Genomic DNA, 19518 nt, shown 5'->3' with positions numbered 1-19518 from the left:
TACGTTATGGTACTTTTAATTATGTTACTCATAAGCAAGTAAATTGCCTATAGCCATTAAAAATAGAATCTATGTATGCATAAATTGACTGGGATAATCAGTGTTTAAGGTATACTGTAGAATATGTACAGTTACTCCTTTTGTATAAAAATAGAGGATATACATATATGTGAAAGTAAATATGTATACAAAATATGCAAAATGTGAATGTAAGCGCTGGTAAATATCTAGAAGAACACACAAGGAACCGGGGCGTGGGGCGGATCGGGCAGAGGGACTTCCCTGTGCCTCACTGTTTGAATTCTGAAGGGTGCATACACGCCCTTATTGACCTGTGCTACTGGCCTCTGGCTAAAGAGGGCGCTGTAGCCACCAAAGTCCTGTTTACAGATCAGGAGTCTCAGTAAGCCAGCGTGGCTACGCCATCACGACCGGCGGTGGCACATGCGCAATAGCGAGACGCTGGAGCGCGGCGTAGGTGGCTGCCGAGTCTTTTCCTGTTTAGGGTCTTATCCTGGCATTGAGGGCGCCGGACTGGCGCTTTTGGCCGACTTGGCATTGGGTGGGCGGCTTCTTGGGACCCACATGAGCCAGTGGCATCATCCCCGCAGTGGCTGGGGCCGGAGACGCGACTTTTCAGGACGCTCCTCAGCCAAGAAGAAGGGCGGAAACCACATCCCCGAAAGGTAGTATGTCTTGGTCCCTTGGCGTGGCCTTTCCAGCTCGTGGCTTCTGGGTCTGGGCTTCATCGTTTGTGGTCTCTGCCTCTCGCCGTTGCCATCGCAAGCTTGACTTGTCCGCCGCTTGCTTTGAGGCTTTGACCCTCTGCGCCACCCGCTGTAGCTGAAAGGGGCGATGTCTGTGATGTCCTGTGATTTCTCCATATTCTTGTAAAAGGGAGGTTCTGGCCATTGCTCTTAGGTAAAATACGGAAGGATTGCTTTAAGGTGGGACTGTTACTGTTGGGGACACTCCTTAATTCCCAAAATGGAACCTCCTCAATTCCTTGTTACGTTGGCACGGAAAGTGTAATGGTTTGAGTTAGGAACCCAGCAGTAGTAGCGCCCTGAGATCTCACATGGAAAGTTGGTTTGTATTGTTTCCAGAAATCACAAAGAGCATACTTTGTTACTTCCTAACAGGCCTCATTTGAAAGATAACTCCTTTATACGTACAAATGATTAATTTTGAGACTTTGCACGTAGGTGCATTGAACTGTTTTTACTCCTTGAGACCATCCTCCACCATCTCATACCTCAATAAATCCTCTTCATTTTATCTACTATCTTTTGACTGTCACTTTCTGTCAGTACCCTAATACAGGTCTTGCCTGACTTATTGCAGTGGGGTTCTAATTAGTGAATCTCCTGTTTGTTTTCTTCCAATCCGTTTTTTTGTTTTTGTTTTTGGGATGGATTTTTGCTCTTCTCCGCCAGGCTGGAGTGCAATGGTCCAATCTCGGCTCACTGCAACCTCCGCCTCCCGGATTCAAGCGATTCTCCTCCCTCAGCCGCCCAAGTTGCTGGGATTACAGGCGCCCGCCACCACACCCGGCTAATTTTTTTTGTATTTTTAGTAGAGATGGGGTTTCACCATGTGGGTCAGGCTGGTCTCGAACTCCTGACCTCAGGTGATCCACCTGCCTCAGCCTCCCAAATTGCCGGGATTAACAGACGTGAGCCACCGCGCCCGGCCAGTTCCTAGCATTATTAAGTGAAGTTCACAGTCCCTCTTCTAGCAGGTTTTCTCTTAAAATATGAACTTGAAGTTTCCTACTAATTGAACTTTATGGCATCAGTCGTATGAAAACTAAAAGCGTGAAGTGAAATAATTGAATTTAAATTATTTCAGTGAATATGTTTGTATTAATGGCACTTTAGTATCTGGTACTGGGCCAAGTTTAACAGGGATACAGAAGTTCTGGGTATCTCCGGTTTTATATAGGCCTTATTTGAGTTGTACTGTTGTGTTGGCTTGTGTTCGTTTTTATGATGGGGAAACAGGAGAGAAGGACGGTATAGGTCGTTACTTGGTGGGGTTTAATAAGTGGAGTGGCGAAATGCAAAGCAGAGAGGAGAGAGGACATGTTGTGCGGGCTATGATTCCCATTTTCAAAAAGTCTTATTTTGTGCAAGGAAACAAGGCTAACATACAATTTGGCTAACAAAAAATATATCTAATAGGTGGAAAGACTATCTCCCAGTTGGACAGCGGATGCCTGGGACTCGTTTCATTGCTTTCAAAGTTCCTTTGCAAAAGGTAAGCAAAAGTTAATTCAGTATTCTTTCAGGCATCTGAGTTCACCATGCAGAACACTGCTCTCCACTCTATCACATTCCATTTTCTCTTTTTATAGCAAATACTTTGTAATGACCCCTTTACTATCCTGAAATGAAGTTCATAGGTACATACAACCTACTTCATATTTTAAACAAAAATACCAATTAACACCCTAACTATAATATAAAAAATAAAATAAAAGTAATTTATAATAAAATAATATTTATTTCAATATATAAATGTTTGGACATGACTACATTAAAAGACATAGAGTAATAGTTGCCTGCGCCATGAATTCAAGAATTACAAATGTAGACTGATCTAGGTGGGTTGTATTGCTTTAGTGGTAGGAGTTTCTGTAATAGATTTCCAAATATAACAAAGTATAATCTTCATTTGGTTGATAAGGTGATTATTATCCTGGAAAATTCAATATATATTAGTATTGTACAAAAAATACTTTGTGTTTATTTGTGAAATGGAGTTAGGTTCTGAGGCCAAGCTAAATATGAACAGCTTTTTATCTATATTAATCTTGAATAGGACATCCAAAAGCCATTCAGGATGTGGGACACATTTGTAGGACTGTCCTGAATTTGGCAAGTTGTTTAGAATTTGTAACCCTTACCCACTGAATGCCAGTGGGACTCCTTTCCTTCCATGGTCACAATCAGAAATATCCCCCGGATCATCAAGGTCAGGATTTCAGTGGGGAAAATCTGAAGATTGTATTTTTGTTTAAACTAGGAAAGGAATAGGAGGGATAGGAGGGGAAAGCTTTTGACAGCCATAAAAAAGATGAGAAGGTGAAGACAAATAATTGTTTTCTAGATTCCATGTCTTTCTTATTAGACTTCCCCAGCATAGCTCAGATTAGTATCAGGAGAAGCCTACTTGAAACGTTTTGGGAATTTACTTAATTTGTGACTTATAGATCAGATTTCCTTTTTCAACTGCTGTGTCAGCTTCTCTGCATGTCTGGGCTTAAAAATGAGTCATTTCAGGCCAGGCCTGTTGGATCATGTTTGTAATCCAGTACTTTGGGAGGCAAGGTGGGTGTATCGCTTGAGTCCAGGAGTTTTAGACCAGCCTGGGCAACACTGAAACCGTGTCTCTACAAAAAATACAAAAATTAACCAGGCGCGGTGGCGTGTGCTTGTAGTCTCAGCTGCTCAGGAGGCTGAAGTGGGAGGATCGATTGAACCCAGGAGGTCAAGGCTGCAGTGAGCCATGATCATGCCACTGTACTCCAGCCTGGGCAACAGAGCAAGACCCTGTCTCCAAAAAGAAGGTGTTGGAGACACAGGGAATTTTTAGGGAAGTGAAACTATTCTGTGTGATACTCTAAGGGTGGATACATGTTATATATTGATCAAAACCTATAAAAGGGCTTCACGTATATTAACACATTTCACAACAATCCTGTGCTGATGAAGTAGCAGTAGTACTAATATCTCTTACTGAGTGCTTATTCTGCACTAAGCTCAGAGAATAGATGGTTACATCTAATAAATAATTTTGTAGATAATCAAACAGGCTCAGAAAAGGAAGAATCAAAACTTGAACTTAGTTCTTTCTCTCATTTTTTTTGTGGCAAAATATATATAACATAATATGTACATACAATGCATAACATAGAATGAATCACGCATACCTAACCTCTAGACTTTGGTGATAACGATGTGTCAGAGTTGGTTCTTCATTTGTAACAAATGGACCACACTGGTATGGAATGTGGATAGTGGGGGAGTCTGGGTGGGTTGGGGAAGGCAAAGTACATGTGGGAACTATCTGTCCTTTTGGCTCAGTTTTGCTGTGAACCTAAAACTGCTCTGAAAACTAGTCTATTTTTTTTTTTTTTTTTTTGAGATGGTGTCTCGCTTGTCGCCCAGGCTGGAGTGCAGTGGTGTGATCTTGGTTCACTGCAAGCTCTGCCTCCTGGGTTCACGCCATTCTCCTGCCTCTGCCTCCTGAGTAGCTGGAACTACCGGCGCCTGCCACCACGCCTGGCTAATTTTTTTGTGTTTTTAGTAGAGATGGGGTTTCACCGTGTTAGCCAGGATGGTCTCGATCTCCTGACCTCGTGATCCTCCTGCCTCGGCCTCCCAAAGTGCTGGGATTACAGGCTTGAGCCACCGCACCCAGCCAAACTAGTCTATTTTTTAAAAAGTACATTGCTGGCACCTGAGTAGCCAGACAGATTGAAGGAACAGAGCATAAAGTTCAAAAATAAGCCACATACATAAAAGAATATTCAGCAATGAAAGCCATCCTTCATATATGTAGACATGTGAGAAATATTTATTTGTGAGGCCGAGACAGGAGGGTTGCTTGAGCTCAGGAGTTTGAGATCAGCCTGGGCTACATGGCAAGACGGCAAGACCCTATCTCTTTTTTTTTTTTTTTTTTTTTTTTAAATTTTTTTTTTGAGATGGAGTCACTCTGTCACCCAGGCTGGAGTGCAGTGGTGTGATCTCGGCTCACTGCAAGCTCTGCCTCCCGGGTTCACGCCATTCTCCTGCCTCAGCCTCCCGGTAGCTGGGACTACAGGCGCCTGCCACCACCCCTGGCTAATTTTTTGTATTTTTAGTAGAGACGGGGTTTCACAGTGTTAGCCAGGATGGTCTCGATCTCCTGACCTTGTGATCCTCCCGCCTTGGCCTCCCAAAGTGCTGGGATTACAGGTGTGAACCACTGCGCCCAGCTGACCCTATCTCTTTAAAAAAAAAAAAAAAAGGCCAGGTGTGGTGGTTCATGCCTGTAGTCCCAGCTACTTGTGAGGTTGAGGTGGGAGTATTGCTTGAGCCCAGGAGGTGGAGGCTGCAGTGAGCCATGTTTGTGTCACTGCACTCCAGCCTGGATGACGGATGACAGAGCAACACCCTGTTTCAAAAAAAAAAAAAAAAAAAGAAAAGAAATATTTATAAGCACTAAATATGATAAGCACTCCACCTGGAGCTGGAGATACAGTGGTGAATAAAATCTGGGAGATTACAGTCTGATTAGGAGACCAACATGAAACAAATACAGAAATACATATATAGAAGTGGGCTTATTTTTTTCTTTCTGACCACTCTGGAAGAAAGGATTGTTGTAATATACCTTCTATGTTCCAGGAGAATGGAAACTTTCCTTTGAATCTCGTTGTATGTTAGCATCACAGGACTTGAATAAATGCCTAATGTAGTACAGGATTTTAAGCACATATTTGCTCTTATTTCATTCTCTGTGACAGAGTTTTGAAAAGAAACTTGCTCCAGAAGAATGCTTTTCCCCTTTGGATCTTTTTAACAAAATCCGAGAACAAAATGAAGAACTTGGACTGATTATTGATTTAACATATACTCAACGCTATTATAAACCAGAGGTAAGTGGAACCCTTCAATGAAAAGAACTTTCTTCCTTCTGATCCTAAAATAATTTATAGTAATTCAGTAATCATCTTGTGCTAATGTGAAGCTTGGCCTTCTTTGATGGGTAGTAAGTTTAAAAGAGAACCAAGTGATTTCTCTAATTACATGTTTTTAATTGCTGTCTTAAATGGAATATTATTCAGCCATAAAAAAGAATAGATTTAATACGTGCTACAATATGGATGAACCTTAAAAACATGCTTAGTGAAATAAACCAGACACAGAAGGACAAATATATGATTCCACTTGTATGAAGTACCTAGAATAGACAAATTCACAGAGACAGAAAGCAGACTAAAGGATCTATGAGGTGGGGAGAAAAGGGAATTATGGTTTAGTGGTCAGAGTCTTTTTGTCGGGGATGATGAAAAAGTTTTGGGTATAGACAGTGGTGATGGTTACACAATACTGTGAATGTAATGCCACTGAACTATACACTTGTGGATGGTTAAAATGATTTTGACTTAGCCTCTTCTGTCTTTTATCTGTATCTACTTTTCTCCCACCCCAAGAATATCGGTTCTCAATAGTGCCTGGAATTCCCTCTATCTCACAATTCAAATCCAAGTTCTTCTGACTCTATTCTCTACTCTTCTACTTAAATCATAGCTGCTTTATGAAGGCACTGGCCCTTGAATTATAAAATATTAAATGGAACTGTTTATATAATTTATAGTTAAATATGCATTCATTCACATGGAATTTGCTTTCAGTTTTGTATACCTAGTGACTATCTATTATGTAGTTTTATTGAAAATCAAGTGATACTTCCTGGTTGAAGCAGTGTTGGAAAAAATGGCTCTTTTATCAGAATTGTGTATACTGATATTGGCATATTAAGTTTGTTATAATCTCTTGGCTTATATTCTGGGTCCCCTAATTACTCTTTAATTATTTCTCTACAAGTGAAATAATACACATCTTTTATGGTTTTGCTTTATAGGATTTGCCAGAAACTGTTCCTTACTTAAAAATTTTTACAGTTGGACATCAAGTGCCTGATGATGAGACTATTTTTAAATTCAAACACGCTGTTAATGGGTTTTTGAAAGAAAATAAAGATAATGGTGAGTTTTTGTTCTTACCTGAACTGTGGTGTGCATTATGAATGGGGTTGGGGATTTTTGGTATTTTTTTATAGTTCCAACCTCAGACCTGTTGTATTTAATGATGCTAAGGTGATGAAAATGTCAGATGGTGCTAATAGGGTAAGATGTTTTTCCTTTTGTTGATCACAAATAATTTAACTTTGGAATGTTAAATTAGTTTTAGTGCAAAATATGAACTGAACTGGCTCATCTTTCTTTTTTAATTTGAATGAGAAATATATAAAATTAAAATGTTATTTTTGTCTTCTATATTGGTTAAGAAGTGAGAAGTAGAAGAAAAGATTAAAAAACTCTGAGTCTTAGAGTTATGTGAAAGAGACAAGAAAGGGCAAAGATTAAGAATGGGACGGACCCCTAGAAGCAAAACAAGAAAGAGTGCACCAGTGGAATTGCCCCTTTGTCATATGTATTTAAGACACATGTATACATATGTAACAAACCTGCACGTTGTGCACATGTACCCTAAAACTTAAAGTATAATTAAAAAAAAGATATTTCTGCTGTTTTTCCGCTTTGAGTACAGATGGGGAAGGATACCACCACCTCTTATTCTTCACATGGGAGAACTTAAGCCAAAGGCTGGTGCTTTCTTGTTCCTGCTTTAAGATTTACCTTACTCTTTTGAAAATAGAACTTAACAGCTTCTTTATCTTAAGGATCCAGTTGCCTTTTTCTGGCATCTCTCTGCCAGAAAGAACATGATATTTGTCATATTTTAAGACTGAAGAAGCTTTTATCTTTGGAAAGCCACTGACACCCACAGGACAGAGGCTTCATTTGCCTTCTTTCCAAATTTAGCTTGAGGAGTGTACACTTTGTTACATAAATCTGACAGTAAATACTCCTTTTTAAAAAATGTGATGGAGTAGTGGAGAAAGAATAGAGACAGAGGTGGGAAGATAGGGAATGGAAGGTGAGAGATAGAGACTGGATCAGTGGGTTTGAAGATAAAATTTCAAATTGTAACCTAGTCGCTCACTTAATGTGGACACTAGCTTTTAATTATGTTAAACCTTGTTCACAGATCTTCCCCTGTACTTTAACTTTAAAACTTGAGAGGTTTGGCTTTCCCATTTGTATAAGCTGTTGTCACAGAAATACTACCTTTTAAGATATGAGGGTACAGCTGATGGCCTATTCACTGCTTCCAGGCTCTTTTCTGTGAAATTTTTATATAGCACTTCATCTGTTCTGTGAGGGCTAGGAGGTCCTTATGAATACATGAGAACACATTTTTAAATCTTAGTTGTTCACGTTATACTGATTGTAGTCAGTTGGATAGACTGAACTCCATGTTGGTCTTCTGCCTGAGTGGTGCTGACTGTCTAAGTCTTGCAGTACTCACTGCCATAGCAGGCTTGGGACCTTGTTTATAATCAGTTTTGGCTACCTCTGCTATAATCCCTTCCCACAGATAACAGGCTCACTGATAAAAAGAGGACACTACACTCTCCACTCGCTTCTAGAACTAGTAGGGACTGAGAAAATAAATTGATTCAGTAAACACTGAGATCCTTTTAGATTTGTTGTTAGAGCATGAAGACACAGAGATGATAGCAGTCTTTGTTTTTTGTTATAGCAGTTCACAGTTATCTAGGAAAATAAATATGTAGTGCATGTGGTTTAAGATGTGGGTTAGGCTGGGCGCGGTGGCTCATGCCTGTAATCCCAGCACTTTGGGAGGCCGAGGTGGGCGGATCACGAGGTCAGGAGATCGAGACCATCCTGGCTAACACGGTGAAACCCCATCTCTACTAAAAATACAAAAAATTAGCCAGGCGTGGTGGCAGGCATCTGTAGTCCAAGCTACTCGGGGGGCTGAGGCAGGAGAATGGCGTGAACCCGGGAGGCGGAGCTTTCAGTGAGCGGAGATGGCGCCACTGCACTCCAGCCTGGGGGACAGAGCAAGACCCTGTCTCAAAAAAAAAAAGATGTGGGTTAATTATAGAACAAAAAAGCCGGGCGCGATGGCTCATGCCTGTAATCCCGGCACTTTAGGAGGCCGAGGTGGGCAGATCATGAGGTCAGGAGATCGAGACCATCCTGACTAACATGGTGAAACCCCATCTCTACTAAAAATACAAAAAAAAAAAAAAATAACCCAGGCATGGTGGCGGGCGCCTGTAGTCCCAGCTACTCGGGAGGCTGAGGCAGGGGAATGGCGTGAACCTGGGAGGCGGAACTTGCAGTGAGCCGAGATTGCGCCACTGCACTCCAGCCTGGGCGACAGAGCGAGACTCCATCTCAAAAAAAAAAAGAACAAAAAAGACAGTTCATCATAATAAAAGAATAAATTAAGTGCAGTGAGAATATAGAGGAGAGATTGAGGAAGGCCTGACAGGAGACAACATTCGAGCTGCAGGGATGAGAATTTTGCCAGTATGAGAAAAGGGCAGCCCAGTTTTGGGGATTAGGCACAAAAGGCACAGGGCCTAAAGCCATGGAGAGGCAGCCTCTTGTGTGACTAGAAGATAATGTGAAAAGGCATGGAATTCATATGTTCATTTGCAACAAATAATTATATAACCTATGTTGAAGTCACTTTTCTAGAAAGTGGAAATAGAACAAAGTCCTTGCCCTTATATACTTTACATTCTAGTCGGGGAGAGAAATAAGCAAATAAATACATGGAATATATATGGTGATAAGTGCTTTGGAGAATAACAAAACATGATAAAGGGATGAGGGAAGAGGTGAGTGATCAGGAAGGCCTCTTTATGAAGATGTCATTTGAGCAGAACCTTAAAGGAAGTAATGAACCAAGCCATTGGGTGTCTGGGGAGGAATGTCCTAAGGCAGAGGGAACAGCAGGTGCAAAGTCCCTGAGGCATGACTATGCTAGGCATGTTTGAGGAATGTTACAGAGCCGAGTGTGGCTGGAGTGGAGTGAGTGAGGGTAAGAGCAGGAGAAACGGGATCAGAGAGGTTGGGGCTGGGCAGAAGGGAGGTGGATCATATCAGCCCTTGTAAATCATAGTTAGGATCATTGTGGACTTAGATCGGTTGGAAAGACAGATTGATACCAGTTTATGAAGGATTCTAAATGCCATGCTAAATTTGGGCTTCATGCTATGCTAAATTGAGATTTTTAAGCAAAAACAACCCAGCCAGGCTTATGTTTTAGAAAGATAACATCTGCCATATGGAGGATCAGTTGAGATAGAAGTAGGGAGATTAGTTTGTTGTAGTAATCCAGGCTGGCGATGATGAGTGCCTTCTTTTTTCTTTCTTTTTTTTTTTTTTGAGATGGAGTCTCACTCTGTCGCCAAAGCTGGAGCGCAGTGGCACCATTTTGGCACACTGCAACCTCCGTCTCCTGGGTTCAAGCAATTCTGCTGCCTCAGCCTCCCGAGTAGCTGGGATTACAGGCACCCACCACCACACCTGGCTAGTTTTTGTATTTTTAGTAGAGATGGGGTTTCACCATATTGGCCAGGCTGGTCTCGAACTCCTGACCTCAGATGATCCACCCACCTCCGCCTCCCAAAGGGCTGGGATTACAGGCGTGAGCCACCATGCCCGGCAGAGTGCCTTCTTTTTTTCTTTTCTTTCTTTCTTTTTTTTTTTTTTGAGTAGCTGGGATTATAGGCTCCCGCCACAATACCCAGCTAATTTTTTGTACTTTTAGTAGAGACGTGGTTTCGCCATGTTGGCCAGGTTGGAAAGTGCTGGGATTACAGGCGTGAGCCACCACACCTGGCTGATGAGTGCCTTCTTTACCAGACACTACCTAGTCATGGACACAGATTTTGCAAAGATAAACTACACTTTTTTTTATTTAATTCCTCATGTAATTTTTTAAAAAGATGGACTAAGAAATACTGTGGTGTAATGGGAAAAATCTTAGACTTGATTCTAGTCTTGTACTATTTGCCTGCTTTGACTTACATCTCCAAGCCTTGCCTTTTCATTGTAAAATGTGAATAGTGCTATTTACCTGAGTACTTCACAGGGCAGGTAGACCTGTGGTATGTGTGGAGCACCGAACAAGAGAAGGAATAGAAGCTCTTCGGGAACTCAAGAGTACTATGGAAACTGTCCTTAATATTCAGTATCAAGAGTGAAGGCCTTTTATTTGTTTGATTCAGAAACAAATTTCATTCTTCTCTTAGCCTGTTGTTGCTTTCACTCCCTTTTTGTATAATTAAATCAGTTGCTGATGGGCATTCTGTTTTAAGATAGACGGGTTTGTCTCATTGCAGTTTTAGCTGTTAGTGTCTGACCAGGCTTGCAGTTTACATCACTGAGTCTAATTGGGACTATGCAAAGTTTCCCAGAAGCAGTGAGTTTTGGCTTTCTGTTAGATGATTCTTTATAGTATGTTCCTAGAAAAAACAATTCCTCTTAAGAGTTATTCATTTTCAGGGCAGTGATAATGTTATATACTTGTGTATCTACTTCAGTTACTTAACCCTGTATTTTCTTTTTATAGATAAACTTATTGGTGTCCACTGTACCCATGGTTTAAACAGGACTGGCTACCTCATTTGCAGGTAAGTTGCCAACCCCAGAGGCAGACCATTTTAAATTGTTTTTGTCTGTTTACAATGGTAATGTAAGGTTGTAAAAAATGGAACTGGTATAGAAATACATGAAGTAGAAGGCAGTCTTGCTCCCCACCCAGAGATTACCACCATTAATAATTTAGTACACATCTTTTCAGACTCTAAAAATGCAGATACAAGCATACATGTTATTGAATGGTATAATAGTTAGACATTCTGTTTTTTAATTTAATATGTGATAGACATCTTTCTTTGAAAATACTTGGACTCCTTATTCTTTTTTTTTTTTTTTTTATTGAGACGGAGTCTTGCTCTGTCACCCAGGCTGGAGTGCAGTGGCACCATCTCGACTCACTCCAAGTTCTGCTTCCCAGGTTCACGCCGTTCTCCTGCCTCAGCCTCCCAAGTAGCTGGGACTACAGGTGCCCGCCACCACGCCCGGCTAATTTTTTGTATTTTTAGTAGAGATGTGGTTTCACCGTGTTAGCCAGGATGGTCTTGATCTCCTGACCTTGTGATCCACCCGCCTCGGCCTCCCAAAGTGCTGGTATTACAGGAGTGAGCCACCGCGCCTGGCCAGACTCCTTATTCTTTTTAAGGCCTGCGTTGTTCTTTGCACACCGATGAACACAAAAGTCAGAAGTTTTTGATATTATAAAACATTGAAGTAGTGAACATTTCTATGTAAATATTTTTGAATGCATATCTCATAGCCCCGGAGGTAATTTCACTCAAAATAGAATTTCTTAATCAAATAGTATGTGTCGTTATGCTTTTTATGGATGTTGCCACACTGTACTGAGTTATGTTTGTTCATTCAGAAAATATCTCCTGAGCATCTATTATGTGTAAGCAGTGTGCTGCGTGTTAGCAAAGAGACTTTAGCTGCCCTTTGTGCGTCCTAACAGTCTAGGGAGGGAGTAGATATTAAAGAATCACACAAATGCCTATACAATTACAATTCCAACAAGTGCTGAGAAGGGGAGTGACATGGTACAATGAGAGCATAGAATAGGGAGGATTTGACTTCAACAAGAGGACTAGAGGTTTCTGTGGGGAGGTCTGAGCAAATATCTGAAGTATAAGTAGGTGTTAACCAGGTAGGGATGTTGTGGAGAGAATTCTGAACGTAAGGATCAGCAGAGACCATATTAACAGGAAAATATATACTGTGTTGGAGGAACTGGCTAGGGAGACTGGGCCATGGGGGTAGTATGGCGTTAAAATGGAGCTGGAAATATGAATAGGAGCTGAAACCATGCAGAGCTATGTTTAAGGTTTTAGTCACTACCTTAAGAGCAATAGAAAACCATTGAATTTTTTTTGTTGGGGATGAGTGTGGGGAACACATTCAAATTTGTATTTTCAACCTATCATTTTGCTGCTGAGTGGAGAATACACTGCAGAGGGAAAGAGGTAGAAGCAAGGAGACAAGTTGGGAGGTGTTTGTAGGAACTGAGGCATAATGGTGGATTGGACCAGGGCATGGTGGTCATTTTGGTAGAAAGATACAGATATACTCTATAGAGATATTTAGGTAATATTGTTGTCAGGAGTTGGTGGTGAATTGAATATGAGAGTTTGGAAGAAATGGCTGACAGTGATGGTGACTCCCAAGTTTCTGGCCCATTCTGTTGGTTATACAGTATTTTTTAGATATAATGTTAATATTTTTCCCAATTTGTCTTTTGTTCATTGTTGGTTTCTGATAAATACTCTGTCATATTAAGGAAGTCTCTATTTTTAGTGTATAAAGCATTTTGATAAAAAATGATTCTGCATTTTCTTTCCTTTTGTTTATTAAATTACATTAATGTAAATAAATATATAAATAGATTTTCTGGAGTTGGGTCATCCTTGCATTCTTGAAAAACGTCTTTTTGTGGTCATGGTATGTCATTCTTTAATAACTGCTGGATTTGATGTGCTGATATTTTCTTAGGATTTTTATATCTATGTCTATAAGTTGAAATTGGACCTTTTTTGAAAAAACTTGATTTTTTTCTTTTCGTATATAAATGACCCAAATTATGTTGTTTTGTTAGATATTTGATTGATGTAGAAGGCGTGAGGCCAGATGATGCAATTGAATGTAAGTATGAGGGTTGACACTATTTTTCCCTTTTATTAAAGTTAAAGGTGGAAATGTAGAAGAATTTATCAAATTTTGGAAAAAAAGAAGTTTGTAATTCGTTTGTTCCAATATAAGATAGTCTTGCCAAAAGTCTATAGATGTATGTGGAAGTAGTGAGATATAACAGCTTGAATAGTGAATTTCAGCTTAATTTGCTTTTTCTGGAAAGATCTGCTTTTTGTACAGTTATTTCTAACAGTTTATCCTCTCCTCAGTATTCAATAGGTGCCGGGGACATTGCTTAGAAAGACAAAACTACATTGAAGACCTTCAGAATGGTCCTATCAGAAAGTAAGTCTTATGTTATATATGTGAGATTTGTGGGTCAGGGAGATCTCTGTTTATGTAATTTAAGTTGCATATGTTCATTCTTCTGGTAGCTTGTTTGTTTGTTGGGGGGAGATGTAAACAAATAGGAATGGGAGAAGGAAGAAATTGTTATTTTCATATGCCAAAATATAGTCACTAAATTGACTACTAAATTTGGAAACCAGTAATATTGTGTGGAAAATATTCTCTTTAAGGAATTGGAATTCCAGTGTACCCAGGTCAAGTGATTTTGAAGACTCAGCACATCTCATGCAACCAGTCCACAATAAGCCTGTTAAACAAGGACCTAGGTATAATCTACATCAGATCCAGGGTCACTCAGCTCCTCGACATTTCCACACCCAGACCCAAAGTTTGCAACAATCAGTCAGGTACCTCTCTCTGTTTTCCCTTTTCTAGAATTGAGATAGAAATTAATACTATAGTTAATGAAAACACATTATGATACTGATGAGGAATTCTTCGTTTTTTTTTTTTTTGGAGACAGAGTCTCGCTCTGTCATCCAGGCTGGAGTACAATGGCGCGATCTCGGCTCACTGCAACCTCCACCTCCCAGGTTCAAGCAATTCTCCTGCCTCAGCCTCCTGAGTAGCTGGGACTACAGGCACCCGCCACCATGCCCAGCTAATTTTTTGTATTTTTAGTAGAGATGGGGTTTCACCATGTTAGACAGGATGGTCTTGATCTCCTGACCCTGTGATCTACCCGCCTCAGCCTCCCAAAGTGCTGGGATTATAGGCGTGAGCCACCGCGCCTGGCCGATAAGGAATTCTTGCTGTTCAGTTTGAACCAGGAGATATTATTCTGCTCTGTATTTTGCATTTAGCACTGGAAAATCAGTTACAGGACAGGGAATATGTGACTTTTCAGAGGCAATTCGGAAAGGGACTTAGAAATTTTGATTGATTTTAAACTTAAGCCAAGAGTTTGATGTGGCTATCAAAAAGGATCTTATATTCTTAGGCTACATTAATGTAGTATAGTTTTTAGAATAAGGAAGATTGTTATTTAAGGAGTTGATATGAATTATAAGAAAAATAATAAAATCCTAATAGAGAAATAGCAAAGGATCTGAACAGATAAAACGACAAAAGTATTTTCACTTGGAAAATGGGGAAGACCTCAGTATGGTTAAAGTGGTACATTAGTATGAGTTCTCCAGAATGATAGAACCAGTAGGATGGATGGATGGATGGATGGATGGATGGATGGATAGATGGATGGGTGGATGGGTGGGTGGATGGGAGGAGGAGCTTTTTTATTCGGGGTATCAGCTTATGCACTTGTGAAAGCTGAGAAGTTTCATAGTAGGCTGTCTGCAAACTGGAGAACCAGGGAAGCTGGTAGCATTCAGTCCAACTCAGAAAGCCTCAGAACCACGGAAGCCAGTGGAGTAACTCTCAATCCAAGGCTGAAGGCCTGGGAATCTGGTAAGGGTTGGAGGACACTGGTATGAGTCCTCAAGTCCAGAGGCCATGAAGCCTGGAGTTCTAATGTCCAAGAGTAGGAGAAGAAGGTAAGGTATTCCAGCTCCAGGAGAGAACACAATTTGCCTTTCCTCTGCCTTTTTGTTGTATCCAGGCCCCCAGCCTATTGGATGGTACCTACGCAAACTGAGGGTGGATCCTCCCACTCAGTCCACCCACTCACACACCAGTATCCTTTGGACACACCCTCACAGACACTCCCAGAAATAATACTTTACCAGCTATCTAGATATCTCTTAACCCAGTCAACTTGACACCTAAAATTAACTATCACAAATAGCAAGCTATTATTCTTGCCTATTAATTTAGCAACAGTTTTGTTTGCTTTTTTTTTGGTGACAGAGTCTCACCCTGTCGCCCAGACTGGAGTGCAGTGGTGCAGTCTTGGCTCACTGCAACCTCCACCTCCCAGGTTCAAGCAGTTCTCCTGCTTCAGCCTCCCGAGTAGCTGGGATTACAGGCACTGCCACCACGCCCAGCTAACTTTTGTATTTTAGTAGAGATGGGGGTTTCACCATGTTGGCCAGGCTGGTCTTGAACTCCTGACCTCAGGTGATCTGCCTGCCTCGGCCTCCCAAAGTGCTGGGATTACAGGCATGAACCACCTCGCCCAGCCAGTTTAGCAACAGTTTTTGATAAGCACTCCATTGTAGTGGTTGTCAGGCTGGACCTGGATTTGCATGTTGGCTTTGTTACTCACCTGCTTTGTGATCTTGGATAAGATACTTAGCCTATCTACATTTCATTTTTCCCATTAGTCAGATAGATATTTTAATAATACATACCCCATAGTGGTTGTTATTGACAGTTAACATGAATTTAAACAGTTTAGCACGTTGTAAACACTTTCAAAAATACATTGCCATTTTTAGGCCAGGTGCATTGGCTCACACCTGTAATCCCAGCACTTAGGGAGGCCAAGGTGGGAGGACTGCTTGGGCCCAGGAATTTGAGACCACCCTGGGCAACATGCTGGAATCCTGTTTTTATTAAAAAAAGAAAAAAGAAACTTTAAAAAAATTGACATTTTTAAAAGATGTAAACAAACATTTCAAAAAACATGTCACTTGCGGCATTGAAAATTGGTATAAGCCTTTTGAAGCACAATTTCAAGAGCCATAAAAATACTTTACCTAGTAATTTCATTCTGAGACTTAAGGAAATACTTCAAAGTACAGAAAAAGCTATATTTACTTAATCATTCAGCACATTTCTCAAACTCCCTTCCATGTGTCAGATGCTGGGCTAGCTCAGGATACAGTAGTATATGTTTTGCAGTGTTAATCCCAGCATTATTTGTGGTTGTGGAAAAACTTGTAGCTGCTATATTTCTAACAGTGGAGAATGTAGCTAAATAATTATATCCATACTATAACATTTTATAAAGCCATTGGAAGTGTTAGCTCATTTATGATAAGTGAAACTAATAGGCTGTGATTCAACAGTCAGAAAAAGATGCTGGGGAAAAGAACAAAAGGAAATACTAACTAATTGAATTATAGTAAGTGGGATTGAGGGCTCTGCAGTGGGGGGTTTTTCTTTTCTCATATTTCCAAAGTTTCTTTATTTTTTTTTGTAAGATGGAGTTTTGCTCTTGTTGCCCGGGCTGGAGTGTAATGGTGTGATCTCAGCTCACCGCAACCTCCACCTCCCGGTTTCAAATGATTCTCCTGCCTCAGCCTCCCCAGTAGCTGGGATTACAGGCTCCCACCACCACACCTGGCTAACTTTGTATTTTTAATAGAGATGGGGTTTCTCCATGTTAGTCAGGCTGGTCTTGAACTCCCGACTTCAGGTGATCCGCCCGCCTTGGCCTCCCAAAGTGCTGGGATTACAAGTGCGAGCCACCACGCCCAGCCCCAAATTTTCTTTTGTATAATTATATGAGATTTTCTGGTCTTGCTTTTGAAACAAGTTAATTTAAATCCTAATTTTTCAAATTTGTTGCATATACCATGCTTAAAGTTTTTCACACTTCATAATTAATTTATGTATGTTCGTTTATAAAGTGGAAGCAGATATCTGTTCTCAGTACTAACTAGCTTATTCTGTCTTATGTCAACCCTGCCAGACTTTGGGAGAGAAAGTATTTGATTAGAATAGTATGGGCATGCATTTATCTCTGTAGGGAAAGGTGGAAAGGCTTCTGGGAATCCACGGTGTGCCAGGGCATTGTAGGTAATTGAAATGTATTTTTTTAATTTAGCTTCATAACAGCTCGTGAAGGTGAAAAGTATTATTAGCCCCATTTTATAAAGAACTTAGGGAAATAACAATTAAGTATTTTATCTGCTTAGGTCACACAGGTAGGAAACAGTAGAATATATATTATTTTGTAAATTTATAAATTTAAAATATTTTATGAAAATATAAATTTAAAATAAATAAAAATTATTGTATTAATCCTAGTAATGGCTTATTACTTTTTGTTTTGCTTTAAGAAAATTTTCAGAGAATCCACATGTTTACCAGAGACACCATCTCCCTCCTCCTGGTCCCCCTGGAGAGGACTATTCACACAGGAGGTATTCTTGGAATGTGAAGCCCAATGCCAGTCGGGCAGCCCAGGATAGAAGAAGGTGGTATCCTTATAATTACTCCAGACTCTCCTATCCAGCCTGTTGGGAATGGACCCAGTGATACAAACCTGTCCTGGAATTCTACCTGGAGACCAGAGCTGGCCTGAAAATTACTGGTGTGACTTTTAATTAGTTCAGGTCTAATCAGGTTTCTTTATTGTTCCCTTATGTATTCAAGCTTAAGGAAAAATTGCATTGCTGTTTACCTCTTTGCTGATAAATTTGCAGTAATTACAGCATTGCAGGAAAAACAATCTGTTATTCCAGTCTTAAATTTTTCTAAAAGAAGACAATATTTTAGAACTGAAGCATTGAGAACTTCCCTTGCAAATTATTTTTAAAATTCTATCTTGTTTTTCTATGTATTTCTTTCTGACTAGACTTGTGATATGCGTGTGTTTATGTACAGAAATTTTTAGTGTTTTTGTTATGTTCTGTTATTGACCCAAAGGCCATCTTTATTTTCTATAACTGTTCAAAATTTATATTAAAATCTACTTAGGAGATAATTTCTTTAGAACCTAGTTACTACCTGTAATTAATTGTGGTATTTTTGTGATTAGATATTACTTTCTTTGGCAGTCAGTTGTGGGATTTGACCAACTTCCTTTGACTGAATTGTCAGATATACGGTCTCACACAGGAATGGATGAACTTTTAGGGATTGTCAATTGAGCAAGAGAGACTGACTGATAAACCAGATTGCTGGTTTATTCAATTATAGTGAGTAAGTTACCTGGCAGGGTAATTGCCATCAACTGAGTAGAACTATCCAGAAAACTTGAAAACTTTTATAAAGGTGATAAACAGAGTAGAATATGTCCATTTAAAGGCTGTGGATGTCTAGCAAGACTACTGTGTTATTGCTCCGTTGTTGAATATAACCTCCTGGGATCTTTCTCCAGTTGCCTCTCCTCTTAAGTGGAGTTGTGGCTTACCTTTTTTTTTTTTTTTTTTTTTGAGACAGGGTCTTGCTCTGTCACCCAGGCTGGAGTGCAGTGGTGCCATCTAGGCTCACTGCAGCCTCTGCCTCCTGGCTGAAGTGATCCTCCCACCTCAGCCTCCCTAGTAGCTGAGACTACAGGTGTGGACTACAATGCCTGGCCAATTTTTTGTATTTTTTTTAATAGAGACCAGGTTTTGCCATGTTGCCCAGGCTGGTCTCAAACTCCTTAGCTCAAGCGAATCCACTCACCTCAGCCTCCCAAAGTGTTAGGATTATAGCCATGAGCCACTGTGCCTGGCCTACCTTCACTTTTTCCAAGTTGTCTCTTCTGCTGCTATACCTGTGGAACACACAGACCCTTCATTGGGGAGGGTAATTATTTTTAGTTGCAGAGGAAGCCAGAAACCTTTGATGGCTCAAAGAAGTGTCTCATCATCATAACACATAGTAAGCCTCAGTAAATACTTGATGAATACTTGAGCAACCTGGCTTCATTTTTAAATTATTTTAATTAATTTATTTTTAAATTTTTGATAGAGATAAGGTCTCACTTTGTTGCCCAGGTTGGTCTTGAACTCCTGAGCTCAAGCGATCCTCCTGCCTTGGCCTCCCAAAGTGCTGGGATTACAGGCATGAGCCACCATGCCCAGCCATTGGCTTCATTTTTTAAAGCATCTGATTTTGAGGATTTGTGTCATTGAATGTCTGATGCTGCATGTGATAGTTATTTTCTC

At 40.4% G+C, this 19518-nt stretch overlaps 1 protein-coding gene across 2 annotated transcripts, besides 3 other annotated features; it reads left to right on the top strand.

The window, feature by feature from the left end:
- On the top strand, positions 411 to 18347 carry DUSP11 (dual specificity phosphatase 11). 2 transcript variants are annotated; one of them, NM_001424649.1, is made up of 9 exons: positions 411 to 686; positions 2184 to 2259; positions 5516 to 5647; positions 6637 to 6760; positions 11235 to 11295; positions 13353 to 13399; positions 13657 to 13732; positions 13966 to 14142; positions 17701 to 18347. In NM_001424649.1, exons 1-9 carry the CDS (start codon positions 445 to 447, stop codon positions 17897 to 17899), a joined length of 1134 nt encoding a protein of 377 aa, NP_001411578.1. In that variant the 5' UTR covers positions 411 to 444; the 3' UTR covers positions 17900 to 18347. The 2 variants fall into 2 exon arrangements, with proteins under 2 accessions (NP_001411578.1, NP_003575.3); NM_003584.3 differs by having other exon boundaries at positions 457 to 686.
- Positions 486 to 555: an enhancer, noted in NCBI's record as "active region_16034". NCBI's record gives its function as "activates an Ori minimal core promoter by ATAC-STARR-seq in GM12878 lymphoblastoid cells {active_cell/tissue: GM12878}" and the evidence as "EXISTENCE:reporter gene assay evidence [ECO:0000049][PMID:35858748]".
- Positions 636 to 685: an enhancer, noted in NCBI's record as "active region_16033". NCBI's record gives its function as "activates an Ori minimal core promoter by ATAC-STARR-seq in GM12878 lymphoblastoid cells {active_cell/tissue: GM12878}" and the evidence as "EXISTENCE:reporter gene assay evidence [ECO:0000049][PMID:35858748]".
- Positions 816 to 965: an enhancer, noted in NCBI's record as "active region_16032". NCBI's record gives its function as "activates an Ori minimal core promoter by ATAC-STARR-seq in GM12878 lymphoblastoid cells {active_cell/tissue: GM12878}" and the evidence as "EXISTENCE:reporter gene assay evidence [ECO:0000049][PMID:35858748]".
- Positions 18348 to 19518: the final 1171 nt, after the last annotated feature.

This window comes from Homo sapiens, chromosome 2, assembly GCF_000001405.40.
Source record: "Homo sapiens chromosome 2, GRCh38.p14 Primary Assembly".
Lineage (NCBI taxonomy): Eukaryota > Metazoa > Chordata > Mammalia > Primates > Hominidae > Homo > Homo sapiens.
This window is presented reverse-complemented; position numbering and strand designations above follow the sequence as displayed.

Bases quoted from the DNA above. Each gene is read 5' to 3' on its own strand.
- DUSP11 (NM_001424649.1), top strand. From the start codon at position 445: ATGCGCAATAGCGAGACGCTGGAGCGCGGCGTAGGTGGCTGCCGAGTC. The intron at 687-2,183 runs GTAGTATGTCTT...TATATCTAATAG, and splicing joins GGAAACCACATCCCCGAAAG to GTGGAAAGACTATCTCCCAG. The intron at 5,648-6,636 runs GTAAGTGGAACC...TTTGCTTTATAG, and splicing joins AACGCTATTATAAACCAGAG to GATTTGCCAGAAACTGTTCC.